At 41.8% G+C, this 20,894-nt stretch overlaps 1 protein-coding gene and 1 long non-coding RNA gene across 10 annotated transcripts in view, besides 2 other annotated features; one reads left to right on the top strand and one right to left on the bottom strand.

Annotated features, from left to right (window-relative positions):
• Positions 1-493, bottom strand: part of MRPL3 (mitochondrial ribosomal protein L3) — a 40,760-nt gene extending 40,267 nt beyond the window's left edge. Inside the window, exon 1 of the mRNA NM_007208.4 lies at positions 252-493. Coding sequence (NP_009139.1) covers positions 252-343 — 92 coding nt within the window. The 5' untranslated portion in view covers positions 344-493. The remainder of the gene's footprint in view (positions 1-251) is intronic.
• LOC105374114 (uncharacterized) lies at positions 121-18,399 on the top strand. Of its 9 annotated transcripts, none has more exons than NR_189110.1 (4): positions 121-226; positions 6,303-6,423; positions 15,356-15,431; positions 17,907-18,399. It is a non-coding gene; the product is annotated as an uncharacterized LOC105374114 (long non-coding RNA). The 9 variants fall into 9 exon arrangements; NR_189112.1 differs by lacking the exon at positions 121-226 and adding an exon at positions 431-524; NR_189115.1 differs by lacking the exon at positions 121-226 and adding an exon at positions 575-606.
• Positions 129-815: an enhancer, noted in NCBI's record as "NANOG-H3K27ac-H3K4me1 hESC enhancer chr3:131221451-131222137 (GRCh37/hg19 assembly coordinates)". NCBI's record gives its function as "activates a minimal SCP1, AML or CMV promoter by ChIP-STARR-seq in primed H9 embryonic stem cells {active_cell/tissue: H9 hESC(primed)}" and the evidence as "EXISTENCE:reporter gene assay evidence [ECO:0000049][PMID:30033119]".
• Positions 322-391: an enhancer, noted in NCBI's record as "active region_20533". NCBI's record gives its function as "activates an Ori minimal core promoter by ATAC-STARR-seq in GM12878 lymphoblastoid cells {active_cell/tissue: GM12878}" and the evidence as "EXISTENCE:reporter gene assay evidence [ECO:0000049][PMID:35858748]".
• Positions 18,400-20,894: the final 2,495 nt, after the last annotated feature.

Below are 20,894 nucleotides of genomic sequence, written 5' to 3' on the forward strand. Positions count from 1 at the left end.
CTCACTAATTGTAAGATATGATTGCTGTTAATAGCGTTCGCTGCTAGTGGCTGGCTCATAAGCGTTTTTTAAAAATCACCACTTCAATCCCCTTAGAACGTGCTTCCTTAGGTTAACGGCCCTTATTCTTCTGTGTCCCACGTCTCAACAGAGCCCCTTCCTCCTCCACCCAGGGGAGGCCCAACTGCACCAGGCCATTCCACTGCTTCAGGACGCAACTGTGCAGGTAGGACACCCTCACACCTTCCTACCTGTTCCCCGGGCCCAGGGCAGCACCCAGGCCGTCCCCGAGTCGACCCAGCACCTGGGCGCCGACCTGCGTCAGCAGCCTCCAACCCGGCATGGATTAGCCCGGGAAGACTCGACTCACGACTTCCGGGCGCCCTGCCGCTCTGCTTTCAGGGAGTCCCCACGCCACCGCCACGTGGACGCAGTAGCCGTGGGGAAGTTTTCGCAATGGCCGCCGGAACGGTCGCCGGCCGATGCTCTCTGCGACGGAAAGAAAGCCGCCGGACCCACTTCCGGTGCGTTTTACAATGAACTCCGGGCACTCGAGTCGCTCCCCGGAAACTATAGTTCTGCTTCCACCGTTGTCCTACTTTGGATGTGAGTTGGAGTAGGTAGGGGTGGGAAGGGACTGACTCGCCTCTCCAGGGGTAAAATAAAAGGGATGTTCAGAGTTTAAACTTTAGAAGAATAAGGACAGACTTCCTGAGGACGCTAAGGAAAATGAAGACACTTCTAAATAGTGCCCGTTGTGAGGCAATGCATTATGCTAAGCAGCGCTTCATAATCCTATATTTGTTAATCATAAAAAACGGTCCTGAAAGGAAGTATTTATTTTTCTATTATAAATGAGGAAACTGACTCAGAATTTAGGTGCTGGTCCAAAACAACACATCTGGCAGAGGAGCAGAGTTGGCACTGAAACAGGGTTGGCATGTGTTATCAATAGACTACACCCATAGAAATGATGTATGCCTTCTAGGGCTGGATCATAAAACATATTGTTACTTCAGTTTTTGTCTCTTGGATTGCTCCCTGTGGAGAAAGCTAGCCTTCATTTCCTGCAGACACTCAAACAGCTCTGCAGGGAGGAACATATAAAGAGGAATCAACTAGCCAGTCATGACTGAGCCACCTAGGAAGTGGATCCACCAGTCCTCGGCTGCAACTCATGGAGACGTTAAGCCTGAATCTCCCAGCCAGGCCGCTCATGAATTACTGACTAGGAGAAATTGCCAGAGAAAATAAATGATTACCGTTTTTTTGAGTCATTAAGCTTTAGGGTAATTTGTTATGCAATAATAGATAGCTAATACACCTGCACAAAAAATCCCCTGTCTTGGGTTCCAGATCTAGCCTAATAACCATGTATGTGACTAGGACATTTATTCTTCTACTAATTCCCTTATTTGTCAGATTACTGTTTGTAGAAATTTGGAAATAAGAACTTTAAAGTGTAGCTATTTCAACCTTCTCTTTTTACTAGAGATCTGGCTATCTTGGTTTAACAGGTCCAGACAATGGTCAATTCCTGGCCATTACTTGGACTTTAGTGGGCTAAAAAATCTTTGCTTTGCTTGTCCATTCATTCCACTCATTGCTGTTGCAGTTACCTTAGACACTTTTCAATAATACTTTGGACCTTGAAGGAAAAACTACATCTCTTCATTCTAGCCATGCTGCCTGGCTTCCCAGATACTTAAGGATGGCTCTTCATTGAACAAACATGTTTTGAGGTGTGCTACATGCAAGAAGTTGAGAATAAGAAGATTTCTGTACTACTGCCAATAACTAACATTTCTTATCCATATAGTGTGCTAGAGTATGTGCTCAGCATTGTGGAAGCCCATAAGCCAAGGCTACTAGAAGAAAACGTGAACTCATACAAAGTCAAGTTTAATTAGCTTGATGCAGCAAAAGACAGCATATGTCTGAGGATGTTTCCAAAAGAGTGACCTGGGAGGGGCTTGAAATGAAATTTGGACTTAAGGCTGAGTGATTTTAAAGTGGCATCAGAGAAGCAGGAACTTGTTTTAGAATGGGTGCTGTCAAGAAGAAAGGACAGTTCAGCAATTGGATATCTTGATAGTCTTTGTTCTAGAGACAGGAAGAACAGAGAGGAAGTGGGCATGATGTTCATAAGAAAGCAGGAATCACTCAGAATAAGGAACTGTTAGTCATTTTGCTGCAGTGGTGTGGCCTACAGTACGGTCTGTAAGAAATATTGTAATGATGGGCTGGGCGTGGTGGCTCAGCACTTTGGGATGCCAAGGCGGGTGGATCACGAGGTCAGGAGATTGAGACCATCCTGGCTGACATGGTGAAACCCCTTCTCTACTAAAAATACAAAAAAAAATTAGCCGGGCGTAGTGGCGGGTGCCTGTAGTCCCAGCTACTCAGGAGGCTGAGGCAGGAGAATGGTGTGAACCTGGGAGGCGCAGCTTGCAGTGAGCGAGATTGAGCCACTGCACTCCAGCCTGGGTGACAGAGCAAGACTCCGTCTCAAAAAAAAAAAAAAGAAATATTGTATTGATGTTCTGCTATAAACACTGCAGTCCAGTTACTAATAGTATTCATTTTTACTCTCTCAGTGTATTTTCTCACTTGATTGTTATGACAATCTGCTGTGACAATAGTATAATTATCTGGATCTTACAGTTAAGAAAATAGGCATACAGAGATTACATAACTTAAATAAAATCACCCAGCTATTAACTGGTAGAGCCAAAGACTGTGACCATAGATAGAGCTTATGCTTTTAGACATTTTGTTTCTTTGGCTCTCTATGACAAATATGTCACTACTCTTGCCTTGGAATTTCTTTAAGGCTAAAGAGGAAAATCGGTAAGTAATCACACGCAGTGGTCAGTGAGGATTGAAGAGGTAGCCATTTGGTCTAACCTTTTCCCATAGTACCAAATATCTCCTAGTCCATAAGGAGGACCTTGACAGCAGGCACCACCGCTGAACTGAATCAAAGTAAAACATGGTTTGTCTGCTGTCGTAAAAAATGTGTCTCCTGATTGCCAGCCAGGGCTGAGTGGTGTCATACTTGATTTAGTCACTGTAATATGCTGCTGACAGCTACTAGGCCCAGTTGTCAAGGGACCCAGCCTAGGCTTTTCTAGGGCAGTCAGGCACTGACCTAGAGCTTCCTGTTATTTCTGATGTCATCCTTCAGACACTGCCTTAGACCCTGAAACTGTAATGCCATTTTGCCTCTCTAAGATTTCAATTCCTTATTGGAACGAAGATAACTTGCACTTTCTCTTTTTAGTGGTACAGTTCTATAACTCTTACTCCGCTAATTCAGACCAACAGATGATCTCATAAACCTTCTCTTATTAAATAAAACATTAGGAATAGATTCATTTTTGAATTACTAAAGCCATGTTCAATACAAGAGAATCATCATAGAAGGAGCAGATTTCAAAGCAAGAGTTCACTGGAAATAATCTTTTATATGTGTTCCTGCCATTAGGCTCTACCATTAGCTCTTATAATGTTTGTGATATATCCTGTATAGTTGGATTATTGCAAGATGGTAAATTTTGTGTTGGGTAATTTCCACTTTAGTATTCATTTATGCTGTCTCTTAGTTTATAACATACCTTATATTTGAAATTAGAAATCTTTTAAACAATGAGTTTGGATTTACTAAGTTATCCTTTTTTTTCTCCATTTTTCTCAAGTTGTGAGAATCTAGCATATTTTAAAATCAGTAAAGATGTTATGAAAGTGAGTCAAGCATTCAATGGGGATATAGATAAAATAAACTTTAAGAGATTTTTGAACTTTAAGATTTCATTGCTGGCTGAAATAGAAAATTTGAAAGGCTGTATTGCAAAATCCACAGATACTCATTCAGTAAGAGAATGAATTCTGCTTCAATGTCCTTCAGTAAGGCCAAATCACAATTTGTAACTTTAATATATTGCTTTTAAAACATAATTTTTATTTGTAAATTCCCAAGTAAGCCCACAGACTTTAGGGTTCCAAGAGATGATCAGAATTAAAATTCATTTGGCTTGAAGAAAGCCTTAAAAAAATAGAAAAAAGCAGTATGGCCATGTAGTAATCTGGGTTTAAGGTTTCAAAACTTAATGTAATTATACCAATGTCCATTTTTTAAAGTTCTTTGATTACTTAGAAAAAATATTAGCAACAGACAATGTAGCATCACATGCCAGGGAACCAATGCTTTTCAAAAGGACATCTCTTCCTCCCTGGTCTTCCTCCCAATGCCAGTGTAGTTTTGATGGCCAGAGTATAGCTCCAAACCAGTGGATACTCTAGCCACCTAGAATCATAATCAGGATTACCCCTCTGAGCCTTACAGATACAGAATCTGGAGAAATTCTAAAGACTGAGTTCATTTAGGATTTTGATTCCACTTAGAGGAGGCCTAGGGATTCCCTGAAAAATGATAAATAACTAACATTTGCATTGCTTTTGCTAAGTGGCAGACACTGATCTATGTGCTTTCCATATATTAACTTATTTAATCCTCACCTGTGAAGTGGGTACTGTTAGTCTCAACCCCATTTTACAAATATGGAAACTGAGGCACAGAGACGATGAGCAGGTCATTCAAGTGCACAAACTTTACATTTGTTAAGTAAGTGGTGGAGACAGGAGTTGAGGCCAGGCAGGCTGTCTAGAGTCCAAGTGCTTAACTGATCTGCTGTACTGCCTCTGTCCTTAGAAGAGAAAGCTGCATAGCACATTATTGGAACACTCAGCTCAGCATCCAGAGGATGCCCCAGACCAACAAAGATTGATGATGATAGTGCTAAGCCTGCATCTTTAGGCGTCTCATCAGTCTAGATCAGAATCCGTCGGTCTCAAGAGAGAATGATGAGGCCGAACTGCTTGAGATATTCACCCATTCAATTCCTATGCAACCTCATTGGAGGCTTTTCAGAGCCCACGTGATGTTGAAAGCCTGTGATTCTCAACCCTGAATGTGTACAAGATTTACCTGGGAATCTTGCTAAAATGCGGAACCTGATTCATTAGGTCTAGGGTGGGATCTGAGAGTCTGCATTTCTAAGAAGCTCAAGATGATGTCAGTGCTGACCACATTTTGGGTAGCAGCATTCTAAAAATGGCTGTGAACTCAGAGCCAAGAGACTTGGGATTCAATCTCAGGTCTAAACTTAACTAGCAGTGCGACACAGAGTAAATCACTTCACCTCTCTGCCTGTTCATCTGTCCAGCTGAGGTCCCTTCTAGTCTTCTAAGTGAAAGTCCTTCTGGAAGGTAGAAAACAGTAGTTATATTATTCTTTCTTTTTTTTTTTTCTTTTTTGTAAAGATGGAGTCTCGCTCTGTCACCAGGCTGGAGTGCAGAGTCTCACTCTGTCACCAGGCTGGAGTGCAGTGGCGTGATCAAGGCTCACTGCAACCTCTGCCTCCTGGGTTCAAGCAATTGTCCGCCTCAGCATACCAAGTAGCTGAGTTTACAGGGGCCCGCCACCATGCCCGGCTAATTTTTGTATTTTTTTTTTTTTTAAGTAGAGACAGGTTTCACCATGTTGGCCAAGATGTTCTTGATCTCTTGACCTCGTGATCCACCTGCCTCAGCCTCCTAAAGTGCTGGGATTACAGGTGTGAGCCACTGCGCCCAGCCACAATAGTCACATTATTCTAAATGTTTACGTCCTAATTCTTGAAATCTGTAAATGTCCTTTATTACGTGACAAAAGGGACTTTGCAGATGTAATTAGAGTTTTGAACCTTGAGATGTGGAGATTATACTAGATTATCTGGGTGGGCCCAATGTAATTACATGAATCCTTAAAATCTGAGAACATTTCTGGCTGTGGTGAGAAATGTAACAATGGAGGAAGGGTAAGATAAATGCAATGTAAAAAGAATCAACCTAACAGTGTTTACCTGGAAGATGGAAGAAGGGGTCCACAAGCCAAGGAATGCAGTGACCTCTAGAAGCTAGAAAAGGCAAGGAACTATATTCTCCTGTAGGAGCTCCAGAATAGAATGCAACCCTGCAGCCACCTTCATAGTAGCCCAGTGAGACTTGTGTCAAACTTTTGACCCCTAGAATTGTCAAATAACAAATTTGTGTTGTTTAAGCCATTTAGCTTTGGGTACTTTGTTATAGCAGAAATGGAAGACTATTATAGACAATTAAGCCCGAAGTTCAAAATGCTGGTAACTCATATAGCAAACAGAATTTGATTTTGGAATATTTTGAGATATAACATCAAGATTTTAAGAGAAACTGTTCTATTTTCTTTATTTAGTTTTGCTTACCTTTTTTTTTTTTTTTTTTAGAGATGGGGTCTTGCTCTGTCACCTAGGCTGGAGTGCAGTAGCATGATATGGCTCACTGCAGCCTCAAACTTGTGGGCTTAAGCGATCCTCCTGCCTGCCTTCTGAGTAGCTAGGACTACAGGTGAGTGCCACCATGCCTGGCTAAATTTTTCATTTTTTTGTAGAGACAGGGTCTTGCTGTGTTGTCCAGGCTGGACTGAAACTCCTGGCCTCATGCAATCCTCCTGCTTTAGCCTCCCAAAGTGCTAGGATTACAGGCATGAGCCATCACACCCAGCCAGTATTCTATTTTCTAGTTTCCTTTGGAGGTCTAAAAAAATCATTATTAGTATGAGTAAGACCCCAAAAGCAAATGCAATAAAAATAAAAATAAATAAATGGGACCTAATTTAGCTAAAAAGCTTCTGTACAGAAAAAGAAATCATCATCAGGGTAAACAGAATGTCACACGCGTCCGTGTGAAGACAGTCCACCAAACAGGCTTTGTGTGAGCAACAACGCTGTTTATTTCACTTGGATGCAGGCAGGCTGAGTCCGAAAAAGGAGTCAGCAAAGGGTGGTGGGATTATCATTAGTTCTTATAGGTTTGGGATAGGCGTACAAAGTACATTCTTAAGAGCAGGGGAGAATATTACAAAGTACCATCTTAAGGGGGGAGGGGAGAATATTACAAAGTACCTTCTTAAGGGTGGGGAGGGGAGGTTATATCGTATCAGTTAGGGTGGGGCAGGAAAAAATCACAATGGTGGAATGTCATCAGTTCAGGCTATTTTCACTTCTTTTGTGGATCTTCAGTTGCTTCAGGCCATCTGGATGTATACATGCAGGTCATAGGGGATATGATGGCTAAGTTTGGGCTCAGAGGCCTGACATTCCTGTCTTCTTATATTAATAAGAAAAACAAAACAAAATAGTCGTGAAGTGTTGGGGCGGTGAAAATTTTTGGGGGTGGTACGGAGAGATAATGGATGATGTTTATCAGGGCTGCTTCGAGCAGGATTAGGGGTATTATGGGAACCTAGAGTGGGAGAGATTAAACTGAAGAAAGATTTTGGGGTAGAAGGTGATATTGTGGGGTTGTTAGAAAGAGCATTTGTCATACAGAATGATTGGTGATGGCCTGGATGCATTTTTTTATGAATTGAGAAGCTAAGCGGAAGACACAAGGTCCAAATAAGAGAAGGAGAAAAAGAGGTATTAAAGGACTAAGAATTGGGAGGACCCAGGACATCCAAATAGAGAGTGCCCAAGGGGGTTCAGCATAATTATTTGCTTGGTGGTGAGTTTTTGGGCTCTATTCTTGAGTTTTTTTATGTTGTCATATACCAGGCCAGATTGATTTAGGTAAAGAAAAAAAAAACACTCTTCATTTAAAAATATATACAGTCCTCCTTTTTCAGCAGTGGGTAAATCGAGGCCTCGGCAATTTTGGAGGAAAGACAAATGCAAAGCCAGCAATTGTTTGTTAAAGAAGGATTAGAAATGGCTAGGAGAGAGTGAGTAAGAGTGATAGTGTGGTGGAGATAGCTGGGGAGAGGTAGAGGGTAGCATAAGAATGGGGACTAGAATAAGAGTGAGTATAAAAGTAAGGAATAGGACTTCATCGGGGTGAAAGTATTGGAGTGTGTTCTGTCAGCAAAGATCATCTATCCACTCCAAGAGGGAGTCAAGAGTGGCAGATGGGGGATAGATTTTCACGATGGAAAGGAAATGAGAGGTTTTAAGAGGTGGTCTAATGGCTTGTAACCTACAAGGAAGAGGTTATGAAATGATGACAGAATACAATGGGCCTATGAGGCTGGAAGGAGATATATATATATTTTTTGGTCTAAGAACCATCTGCCTTGAGTAGAGAGGGATTGATAGGTGGAAACTTCATTTGGAGAGTAAATAGGAGTGACCAATGAGAAGGAGAAAAACTGGCCATGAGGCACAGAAGTTAGAAGCTAGCTGCTTCTTTAGCTACCTTATCAGCATAAGCGTTGCCCTGAGTGATCAGATCTGATGCCTTTTGATGGTCCTTGCAGTGAATGACTCCAGCTTCCTTTGGAAGTAAAGCAGCTTTGAGAAGAGTTTTTACTAAAGAGGCATTAATGATGGAGGACCCTTGCGTAGTGAGGAAACCTCTTTCAGCCCATATAACAGCGTGGTGGTGCAGGATATGGAAAACATATTTAGAGTCAGTATAAATATTGATGCATAATCCCTTTGCAAGAGTGAGGGCCCGAGTTAAGGCAATGAGTTCAGCTTGCTGAGAGGTAGTGGAGGGGAGCAGAGCAATAGCCTCAATGATACATGTGGAAGATACTATAGCATAGCCTGCCTTTGCTGGTGAGTGGCGATTAGGCCTGGTGGAACTGCCATTAGTAAACCAAGTGTGATTAGGGAGAGGAACAGGAAAGAAGGAAATTGGGGAAATGGAGTGAATGCCAGGTGGATCAGAGATATACAGTCATGGGGGTCAGGTGTGGTATCAGGAATAATGTGGGGGCCAGCCTAAAACAGTAAGGTCAAGTTGTTTGGACAGAAAGGCTACAGGACATGATCCCAGCTCTTGTGTAAGAATTCCGACTGCACAGCCCTGAACTTTGGCTGTGTGTAATGAAAAAGGGTTGGGATGAGTTAGGGAGAGCTAGTGTGAGAGCAGCTTTTAGGGCTGTTTTTAAGGAATGGAAAGAGGGGTGGAGAAAGGATTTAGGATTTATGGGGTCGGCTAGGTTTCCCTTTGTGAGTTTATATAACGGTTTTGTTAGGATGGCAAAACCAGGTATCCAAAGGTGAAAGTATCCAACCATGCCCAGGAAGGAAAGGGGTTGTTGTTTTGTAGAAGGGATTGGGGTTTGGGAGATTGGTCGGACACAATCAGCAGGGAGAGCACATGTGTTTTTATGAAGAATTATGTTGAGATTGGTAACAGATGAGGAAGAAATTTGGGCTTTGGAGGGGGATATGTGATATCCCTTTGACAATAGATGTTAGAGAAGCAGGAGGGTGTCCTGTTGAGAAGATTTGTAGGGGCAGGGCTATAAAGTAGAAGGTCATCAAAATATTGAATAAGGTGAGAAGCAGATGAATGGAAAGAAAGTAAATCATGAGAAAGGGCTTGACTGAAATAATGGGGGCTGTTCCTGAAGCCTTGAGGCAGTACAGCCCAGGTAAGTTGCTGAGGCTGTTGGGTGTCAGGGTCAGTCCAAGTGAAAGCAAAGAGAGGCTGGGTGAAGGGTGCAAAGGAATAGTAAAGAAAGCATCTTGGAGATCCAGAACAGAATATATGGGTTTGGCACTATAGGATGGATGAGAAGGACAATTTGATTAATAAGGTGAAGATCCTGAACCAGCCTTTAAGACTTGTCCGGTTTTTGGACAGGTAGGATAGGGGAGTTTTAAGAGGTTTAGAAGCCTGGCTACCAATACCTGGAACAGTTATGGAGGCAAGGGAAACAGGGCCCTTGAAAAGAAGGTAATGTGGAGTGGATAGCCTCCATATTGATTAAGAAGGGGACGGACTTACCCTCCACTGTAAGAGTTACCCAGAGTGTCCATGATGGTCCAGGAGGCTTCCAAGGTGATGGGGCAGTGTCAGTCTTCAGCCACTAAGCCGAGAAGATCTGAGAAGGAGTCAGTCAGAAAGTCTTGGGCCAGAGTTCCAGGGGCTCTGGGAGTGGCTGTCGGGTGAGTTGGACAGTCCAATTTCCAGTGGGGTCCTGCACAGATGGGACAAGGCTTAGGAGGAATCTGGGGCTGCGGGCATTCCTTGGCTCAGTGGCCAGATTGCCAGCACTTAAAGCAAGATCCTGGGGGAGGAAGTCCTGAAGGAATGCCTGACTGCTGTGGCTTAGGCGTTTTGAAGTTCTTGTGTGCTGGAGATGTGGCTGGGGTTTCTCTCACAGCAGAGGCAAGTAATTGCAACTCTTCTCTATTATTGTACACCTTGAAGGTGAGGTTAAGTCCTGTTGTGGGGTTTGAGGGACAAAATCTAATTTTTGGAGCTTTATTTAATGTCAGGAGTGGATTGGGTAATAAAATGCATATTGAGAATAAGACGGCCTTCTGACCTTTTAGGGTCTAGGCTGTAAAGCATCTCAGGGTTGCTGCCAAATGAGTCATGAACTGGGCTGGGTTTTTATATTTGATGAAAAAGAGCCTAAACGCTAACTGATTTGGAAGAGGTCGGATAAAGAAAAAGGAGCATTAACCTTGACTATGCCTTTAGCTCCAGCCACCTTTTTAATAGGAAATTTGGGGGCATGTTGGGGAGGGCTAGTCACAGAAGGAAACTGTAAGCCAGATCAAGTGTGAGGAGGGGAGGTGATAGAAGGATTATAGGGTGGGGCAGCAGAGGCTGAGGAAGAATTGGAGCCTGATTCAGCCTTGCAGGGAGTGACCTGAGGAGGAGTCTGGGGAGGAGGGGAGAGGTCAGATGGGTCAATAGAAAAGGAAGATTGAAAAGACTCAGTGATGCTTGGGGTTGGGACTGAGGGAACAGGTGAGAGGGAAAGAAGGAGGATTTGGGATGAGTCACATTGGGATCAGAGACTAGGGAGGGAACAAAGTGTGAAAAATGCCTGGATGTAAGGCACCTCAGACCATTTGTCCATTTTTTGACAAAAATTATCTAGGTCTTATAGGATGCAGAAAATGAAAGTGCCGTTTTCTGGCCATTTAGAGCCATTATCAAGTTTGTATTAGGGCCAAGTGGAGTTGCAGAAGAAAATAAAGCATTTAGGTTTTAGGTCAGTTGTTGAGTTGAAGAGGTTTTAAGTTTTTGAGAACATAGGCTAAGGGAGAAGAGGGAGGAATGGAAAGTGGAAGGTTGCCCATAGTGAAGGAGGCAAGCCCAGAGAAAAGAGAGGGTAGAGACATGAAAGCACAGGTAGAGACAGGAAAGCACCACTTTCCTGCTTGCCCCCCAGGAAAGTGGTGCTTGCCACTAAGGGTGAAGGATCAAGGCAGGCATCCCTGCGGTGATCAGACACCTCTGAAACGTGGGTGAATAATCAAGCAGGTGTCCCCACAGTGATTAAACACCAAGGGAAGACTGTCTTCCCAAGTCCATGACCAGCGCCGGAGTTTTGAGTTCATGGATAAAATGCGTCTCCTCTGTCTCTACCAGAAAAGGAATGGAATTGAAATTAAGAGAAGGGAGAGATTGAAGGATGGCGCCAAGATTGAAAGGAGAAAGAGGTTCAGGGATAGTGAGAGAGGTTGGAGAAGAGAGTAAAAAGAGGCCACTTACCCAATTTAAAATTGGTGAGATGTTCCTTGGGCTGGTTGGTCTGAGGACCTGAGGTCGTAGGTGGATCTTTCTGACAGAGCAAAGAGCAGGAGGACAGGGGATTGATCTCCCAAAGGAGGTCCCCCGATCCGAGTCACGACACCAAATGTCACAGGGGATATGGTGGCTTAGCTTGGGCTCAGAGGCCTGACACAGACAGCCCACAGATGGAAGAAAATATTTGCAAACCTTATATCCAATAAAGGACTAATATCCACAATCTACAAGAAACTTGTTGGGAACAAGGTCCCCAAAATCTGGCCATAAACTGACCCCAAAACTGGCCATAAACAAAATCTCTGCAGCACTGTGACATGTTCACGATGGCCATAACGCCCACGCTGGAAGGTGATGGGCTTACTGGAATGAGGGCAAGGAACACCTGGCCCGCCCAGGGCGGATAACCACTTAAAGGCATTCTTAAGCCACAAACAATAGCATGAGAGATCTGTGCCTTAAGTGCATGCTCCTGCTGCAGTTAACTAGCCCAACCTATCCCCTTAATTCAGCCCATCCCTTCATTTCCCATAAGGGATACTTTTAGTTAATTTAATATCTATAGAAACAATGCTAATGACTGGCTTGCTGTTAATAAATACGTGGGTAAATATCTGTTCGAGGCTCTCAGCTCTGAAGGCTGTGAGACCCCTGATTTTGCACTTCACACCTCTATATTTCTGTGTGTGTGTCTTTAATTCCTCTAGCACCACTGGGTTAGGGTCTCCCCAACTGAGCTGCTCTTGGCAAAACTCAAACAAATCATCAAGAAAAAACAACAGATAATCCCATCAAAAAGTGGGCAAATGTGACTTCAAACTATACTACAAGGCTACAGTAACCAAAACAGCATGGTACTGGTACCAAAACAGAGAGATAGACCAATGAAACAGAACAGAGCCCTCAGAAATAATACCACACAGCTACAACCATCTGATCTTTGACAAACCTGACAACAACAAGAAATGGGGAAAGGATTCCCTATTTAATAAATGGTGCTGGGAAAACTGGCTAGCCATATGTAGAAAGCTGAAACTGGATCCCTTCCTTACACCTTATACAAAAATTAATTCAAGATGGATCAAAGACTTAAATGTTAGATCTAAAACCATAAAAACCCTAGAAGAAAACCTAGGCAATACCATTCAGGACATAGGCATGGGCAAGGACTTCATGACTAAAACACCAAAAGCAATGGCAACAAAAGCCAAAATTGACAAATGGGATCTAATTAAACTAAAGAGGGTCTGCACAGCAAAAGAAACTACCATCAGAGTGAACAGGCAACCTACAGAATGGGAGAAAATTTTTGCAATCTACTCATCTGACAAAGGGCTAATATCCAGAATCTACAATGAACTCAAACAAATTTACAGGAAAAAAACAACCCCATCAGAAAGTGGGCGAAGGATATGAACAGACACTTCTCAAAAGAAGACATTTATGCAGCCAACAGACACATGAAAAAATGCTCATCATCACTGGCCATCAGAGAAATGCAAATCAAAACCACAATGAGATACCATCTCACCCCAGTTAGAATGGTGATCATTAAAAAGTCAGGAAACAACAGGTGCTGGAGAGGATGTGGAAAAATAGGAACACTTTTACACTGTTGGTGGGATTGTAAACTGGTTCAACCATTGTGGAAGACAGTGTGGTGATTCCTCAAGGATCTAGAACTAGAAATACCATTTGACCCAGCCATCCCATTACTGGGTATATACCCAAAGGATTATAAATCATGCTGCTATAAAGACACATGCACACGTATGTTTATTGAGGCACTATTCACAATAGCAAAGACTTGGAACCAACCCATGTGTCCATCAGTGATAAGACTGGATTAAGAAAATGTGGCACATATACACCATGGAATACTATGCAGCCATAAAAAAGGATGAGTTCATGTCCTTTGTAGGGACATGGATGAAGCTGGAAACCATCATTCTCAGCAAACTATCGCAAGGACAAAAAACCAAACACCGCCATGTTCTCACTCATAGGTGGGAATTGAACAATGAGAACAATGGGACACAGGAAGGGGAACATCACACACCGGGGCCTGTCGTAGGGTGGAGGTAGGGGGTAGGGATAGCATTAGGAGAGATACCTAATGTAAATGACGAGTTAATGGGTGCAGTACACCAACATGGCACGTGTATACATATGTAACAAACCTGCACGTTGTGCACATATACCCTAGAACTTAAAGTATAATAAAAAAAGATTTAAAAAAGTGACCAAATGACATGAAGAGACATTTATCAAAACAACATATACAAATGGCCAACAAAAAATGTGAAAATACATTTAACATCACTAATCATCAGATAAATGCAAATGAAAACCACATTGAGATATCTCCATACCCCAGCCGGAGTGGCCATTATTAAAAAGTCAAAAAACAGTACATATTGGCATGGATGTGGTGAAAAGTGAATATTTATACACTACTGGTGGGAATGTAAACTAGTATAACTTCTATGGAAAACAGTATGGAGAATTCTTAAAGAACTAAAAATAGATTTACCATTGAATCCAACAGTCCCACTAGTGGGTATCTACCCAAGAGAAGCCATTATATCAAGGAGACACCTGCATGCATATGTTTATTATGGCACAATTCACAATTGCAATTATCAACCAATGAATGAAGAAGATTTGGTATATATGCACCATGGAATACTTCTCAGACATTTAAAAAAGAATTTAATAATGTCTTTTGCAGAAACTTGGATGGAGCTGTAGATCATAATTCTAAGTGAAGTAACCCAGGGGTGGAAAAGCAAATACTGTATGTTCTTACTTATAAGTGGGAACTAAGCTATGGGTACATAAAGGCAGACAGAAGGTATAATGGACTTTAGGGGCTCACAAGGGAGAAGGTGAGTTGGCAGTGAGGGATTAAAAAAACTACACATTGGTTACAATGTACACTACACAGGGGAAGGATGCACTAAAATCTCAGACTTCACCACTATACAGTTCATCCATGTAACCATAAACCACTAGTACCCCAAAAGCTGTTGAAATTTAAAAAGTAATTTTTGGTAAGAAGGCTTATATCCTTTAAAAATCCAAATTAATGATCAGTTGCATTATTTTGTACATCCATATATTAAAAATACTTGATTGCATATCAACTGTGAAATATACAGTTTTTAGTAGTAGGTGCTTGGCAAATATTGTTTAAATAATCAAATGAATTTGAATCACACTTCACTCAATGTAGAAGATAAAATAACAATGATAATACCTGTTATTTATTGGGCATTTTATATGTCAGGTAATTGGCTCGGAATAGACATCATCGAAGTTTCTCCTGACAATAATGATAGATATGTTCACTATTTTACATATGTGAGTGCATGTCAGTTAAAGAGTAAGCAACTTGGCCAGGTGCAGTGGCTTACACCTGTAATCCTAGCACTTTGGGAGGCTGAGGTGGGTGAATTACCTGAGGTCGGGAGTTCAAGACCAGCCTTACCAATATGGAGCAACCCATCTCTACTAAAAATACAAAAATTAGCTGGGTGTGGTGGCAGGCGCCTGTAATCCCAGCTACTTGGGAGGCTGAGGCAGGAGAATTGCTTGAACCCAGGGGGTGGAGGTTGCAGTGAGCCAAGGTCGTGCCATTGTACTCCAGCCTGGGCAACAAGAGTGAAAAAAAGGTAAGCAACTTGAACACTTAGCTAATAGGTAGCACAGTGGAAATTCAAAACTAGGTTTGTCTGGCTCTAAAACCTCCAATCACTCTCCCATTTTTCTTCTACTCTAGAGCATCAAGACAAAAATCTCAGTCTTCGAGGAACTCACAGTGTAGCAGAAAAGACAAAGGAGGTAAACAGGAGGAGGTAAGTGCCAAAGCAGAGATGTATGTACAAAATTTGGTGGTTGGGTTCCCAGGGCAAGCTAGCCAAGAGAACCAGATTTCCTTTGGTGTGACCTAGCCTTGAAAGTCACATAGTGTCACTTGACTTCAGTCACAAGCTGGCCCATATTTAAGGGGAAGAAACACAGACCCACCCCTGAATGTGAACATGGCAAAGCCACATTGTAAGAAGAACACGTGGATGGAAGATTGTTGCAGCCATCTTTAGAACCACAAGCACCATGCATATGTCCATGTGAAATAATGAAGTTGCATCTAGGTAGTTGCAGGGATTGACCAATTCTAACTCTCAAGAGTTTAACACTTGAACCATTTAGCCTGACAGTTCCTTGCATCTGATGTCCCTCCTTCTCACACCACCTCTCCAGTTCTCCCTCATCTGCAAGGCCTGGCTTAGGCCTGTCCCCTCCATGAGGACTTTCTCATAATCAATAGCCCTGGCTGTTAGCTCCCCCGTTTCTTAGCAATTATTGTGTGGGGTGTTTTTACCTTGTGAAAAAGCTTCAGGCTATGTCTGTCTGGCTTACAGGAGAAAAAATAAGCTTTATTCCATATTTTCTTGTGCTACCCAGTGTAGCTTTTGGATAAAAAACTAGTGTGTCCTCCCTTCAAAGGCCAGGCTTGAAGAATTGTATATGCCCAAAAGGATATGGGGACTTGACTATGATCCAGCGTCAACAGCACAGTCTGGGACCGAAGGGGAGATTTACCATCAAACAGAGTGAGCCGCTGACATTTGCTCCCTTTCCACTGTGCCTGTGACCCCCAGTGGCAAGGACTGGGCAGCTGATGTGGGTCCAGTAGGAGGAATGGACAGGCTGCAAGGGGGAGAAAGGGCACTGCTAGCTTTCAGGGGTCATGCGGTGACAGTGGTCCCTCCATTTGTGGTATTAGACTCCAACCAGGCCTTTCAGGATCGTCATGGCAACTTACCCATCTGTGCCGCTGAGCTGAGACGAGACAGGATTCCCTTAGTAACCAAGGAGCCCGGGAGATGATGCTTAAAATAATTCTTTATGCCCAGGCAGAAATAAATGCCTTTGCAGTTTTAGTAACCATGAAGCATCGTGGGGCACGGCTTTCACTGTCCCTTTATTTCAAAATGGAACAAAATGGCTTTTTAGAGTGGAAATTTCCAACCTAGGTCCAAATGTATCCTTGCTTCACAAAGCACACATCCCCCTGAAGCAAATGAGCAACACACCTGAGCTTCTGAGATGAGCTTCTGGTCACAATTATATAAATTACCTTGAAATAGACCAGGTGCTTTCTGGGTGAAATCACTGTGCTTCATCTAATCTCTTTTTTATTTCCTATTAAAGTCTCAGCCAGTCTCTCAGTAGGGCAAACAGTTATGCTTGGCAAGAGTTTAACACTTGAACCATTTAGCCTTGCATCTGATGTCCCTCCTTGCTCACACCACCTCTCCAATTCTCCTTCATCTGCAAGGCCTGCCTTAGGCCTGCCCCCTCCATGAAGACTTTCTCATAATCAATAGCCCTGGCTGTTAGCTCCCCTCTTTTCTTAGCAATTATTGTGGTGTGTGTGTGTGTATGTGTGTATAATATATATATTTATATTCTTGCATGGTATAATTCTCTTTTATTATAAGTAGTGAGAAGCCTCAAGCTTCTAAATCATGGCTTCTCAATTAAATTGCAAACTCTGTAAAGGCAGAGTCGTAGGATGTGGTTGTTTGGCCTTTGCAGGAACCCCATATTTATAATAAGAGCTCCAGAAACACTTGGAAGTCTTAGAAGTGATGGTTGCAGATGCGTGTACTTTGTGCATGTACTAACAACTGACCTGTTCATGTTGAAAGGGTGACTTTCATGGTATGTGAAGTATACTTCAATAACAAAAAACTCAAAAATATGTGGAAATCTGGTATGAAATACTGAGAAAGTAGCCAGAATTACCATACCAGCAGGAGTAGAGGCAACCCCAGAACTATGACTTGGGTGAAAAGGCCTGAACTTGGGTTACCAAACATCTAGCAAAAGGAAGAGTTTCTGTCTTGCCCATCAGCATGCTTCTGCCTCCTCCACCAGCAACGTTAGCAGAAGCAGAGGGCTTAATATTGATATACTCATATAATAGCCAAGAGCTTTTTTTTTTTAAGAAATGTCAGGTCTTGGTTCAAATCCTAAATCCTATTTTTGTCACTATTTCTATGCATCTCGGGGAATCACTTAGTTTCTCTGAGCTTCCTCATCTTTAAAGTATGATAAAAAAATACTTCCTTCACAAGGTAACAGTACAGATTAAAGGAAATAATATATATAAAGTGCTCAACACAGTACCTGGCACATAGTAAGAACTAAAATAATGCTGACTACAATTGTTAATAATAATATTTATATTCACTTTCTGTTAGGTATTATAATCATTATAAAAAATCTCCATACATCCTTTTCTTTCTCATTGGTGTTTTTAGCATGAATAATTCATCTTGATGTAATCATGCAAGACTCCTAAGAAGATGTTAGGAGACCCTGTCATCATTCTTTTGGCCTCTAGTGTCCTTTATCTTCATGTTTGCTGGCTTCCTTTTACTACTATGGAAATACAACATATGCAAAAGTAGTGTTTTCACTGTTTAAAAACATCGTCAGCAGCATCATCATCATTAACTGCACCAGGAAGCCATGACTCCTTTCTGGACAAGGTGCACTTGCCTGTCATCCTTCCATCTCTTTCTTCCTCCTTGAAGTTCACAATACCCAGTCCAGGAGCATTGCAGAGAATGCTAGGTGTGTCTGCAGACTTGACTTTAAAAGAAAACAAGTTCCTTCAAGTGAGTTCATCATGATGGGAATGATAATTTGTTTGAGAGAATGTGTGTTCTTTGGCAAAGGAACTCCTGTTATACCATGACAGTAATAATAGCAGTAATAAAATCACCAATAATAAATTTACTTTTGAATTTATTTATGTAGTGTCTCGTGTTGTGCTAAATGTTTTGCAAATATTATTTCATTTCACTCCCACAACAATCTATGAGGAAAGTACTGTGGTTGGAGAGGTTAGGTAAATTGTCCAAGACAACATATCTAGAAACATCCCTCGTGAAGCCATTTACCTAGTACAACCTGGTTTAGACCCAAGGTCTCCTAATTCACATTCTTATTATTTCCACTTCATGTGATCCTCAGCCTTTGAGCTTGCTGTTTTGGGAGACTGAAAGCAGAATTCTTTATAAAATGTCTCCTTGCTTAAGTTATGGCCAGAAAGGAAGGGGAAAATAATTTAAAAAATGAAACATCAATTAGATTGGAAATGTTCACACGTAAAATGTCATTATGAGTAGGCAAGTCCTTTGCAAAAAGAAGCCTGTGACTTGGTCAGAGAAGAAAATAAGATATATCAACATTGGTTCTAAGGGAAATAGTCTTCGTCATCTAAACTGTACACTTTCTCCCATGAGCACAGGTGAATGTCCCAACAATGGGCACATGGGAGGTCTCAAGCAGAAAAAAGGTGCTGGTTGCAATGGGTACTTTCTTGGGCTTTAAAGCACAGTGGTCTTCTGAGGAAGAAAATGAAACCAGCATGGGGGACAAGAAGCCATTCTCCCTCAAACCCTCAGTTCTCCCCATCAAACTTCCAGCAAACTTAGAAAACACCATAATCACTGTGTCCTTCCTGCTTCTAGGAATATGAGATTTTTTTTTTACTCGCCCCATTGTATTATGCATATAAGTGCGAGTCATCTTATTCCAAATCCTGAAATAAAATATGTAAGGAGCCATTATATAATGCACACCAGGGAAATAGTAAGGAGCGGTCAATAGAAAATAATGGGAAGGCACACAGTGGGTTTCCCAGAGATGGAGGAGAGGAGGACACTATAATGGTCTGTCCTTTTGCCTTTTCTCTGCAGTGGCAACTCAAATGATTTGATCTAGGCTACAGCAAATTGAATCGCCTCTGTCTCTTTTCCATCTCATGTAAGAAAATGAAGTAGAGGTTGGTGATTGGGCAATATTTTTGCCTTCTTCAACAAATATCCAAGCACCTCTGTGTTCCAAATCCTATGTGCATCTGCTGTCTACATGCTATCTGCTAGCTATGTGCTTAGTCCCATGGGGAAATCAAAGATGAACCTGTTCTCCAAGGTTCTAGGGCAGAATACTTAGAATAAAATATTAGGTTAGCAATATCATCATATTAATTTACATACTTCTTTTTGCCGTAAGGGTTCAAGGACCAGAAAGGAGGTCATGGGAATGAGTTCCCTTTGTGGCTGGTGGGGTAGAGGAGGAATGGCCGTGCAGCACTGCCTCTGTCTACCTCTGCCCCACTATATTTCTCTCTGCCAAAAGCCAAGCTATATTAGTCAGAAATCTTTAATTGCAAGAAACAAAACTCCAACTTCAACTGAATTAAATGAAAAGAAAATTCATAGGTATTTGTGGCTGAAAATTTCAATGGTAGATCTCACTTTAGGCAATGCTGGATCCAGAGCCCAACTGAGGCCATCAGGATGCTATCTTGTTCTTTTTTCAATTTTATCTCTTATGTTCTGCTCTCTTCTGTTTTGGCCTCATTTCCATGAGGCAGCAGAATGGCCTCCTGCACACTCAGATTCCTATTCTCACAGTGTAGTAACACCAAAGGAGTTCTATTCTCCTAAGAACTCCAGCAAAATAATCCAAGCCCAAAAGTCCTAGGTTTGAATTATTTGGCCTGGCTCAGGTCAAACATTTATCAATGAGCTAGTCACTTTATTGAGGGCCATGAAATGCTATAGGTTTTTGCATTTTTTCAGCTTGCTTTATTTATTTATGTATTGCCAGGCTTTTGCCTTCTAGGCTGTACAACTTGCCCATTATGCTATAAATAATGACTTACAGACACCTTTATGATGTGCCATACATTGATATAACACTTTAAAGATATTATCTTCTTAAGTACTCACAAGAACTCTTAAGAGGTAGATAATATTGTCTTCATTTTACAAATAAGAAACCTGAAGGTCAGAGAGGTTAACTAAATTTACACATTCTCTGGGGAACCTGTTTCTGCCTGGCACCAAAATTCTTGGTCATAGTCATAATGATTCTGCCTTCTTTTGGAGGATCAGATCAGCTTGTTATCCATTCTTGCTAGAATAGACAAATGTACTTTCTAGGATGGGCTGAGATCTGCAGGAAAAAAATAAAGACTAAATCCTACAGGTGAGGCAGCTCATGTGGGGCAGCTCAGGTAAGCTCATTTTGATCCTAAAGATACTAAAAACAAAACATAGACAGAATAGGATGGTAATTTCTGAGCTGTGGCTATAATTTAATGATATTTTTAGTCACTTTCAATTCATTTGCTCAATAAATTCTAAATGAATTAGTTTAGATTATGAAATTATTTTCTCAGTCTAATTCAGTTCCTGTGGGTGTAGATATTTTTAATATCCCACACTCCATTC

The sequence above is a fragment of the Homo sapiens genome, chromosome 3, assembly GCF_000001405.40.
Source record: "Homo sapiens chromosome 3, GRCh38.p14 Primary Assembly".
In the NCBI taxonomy this organism is placed as follows: Eukaryota; Metazoa; Chordata; class Mammalia; order Primates; family Hominidae; genus Homo; species Homo sapiens.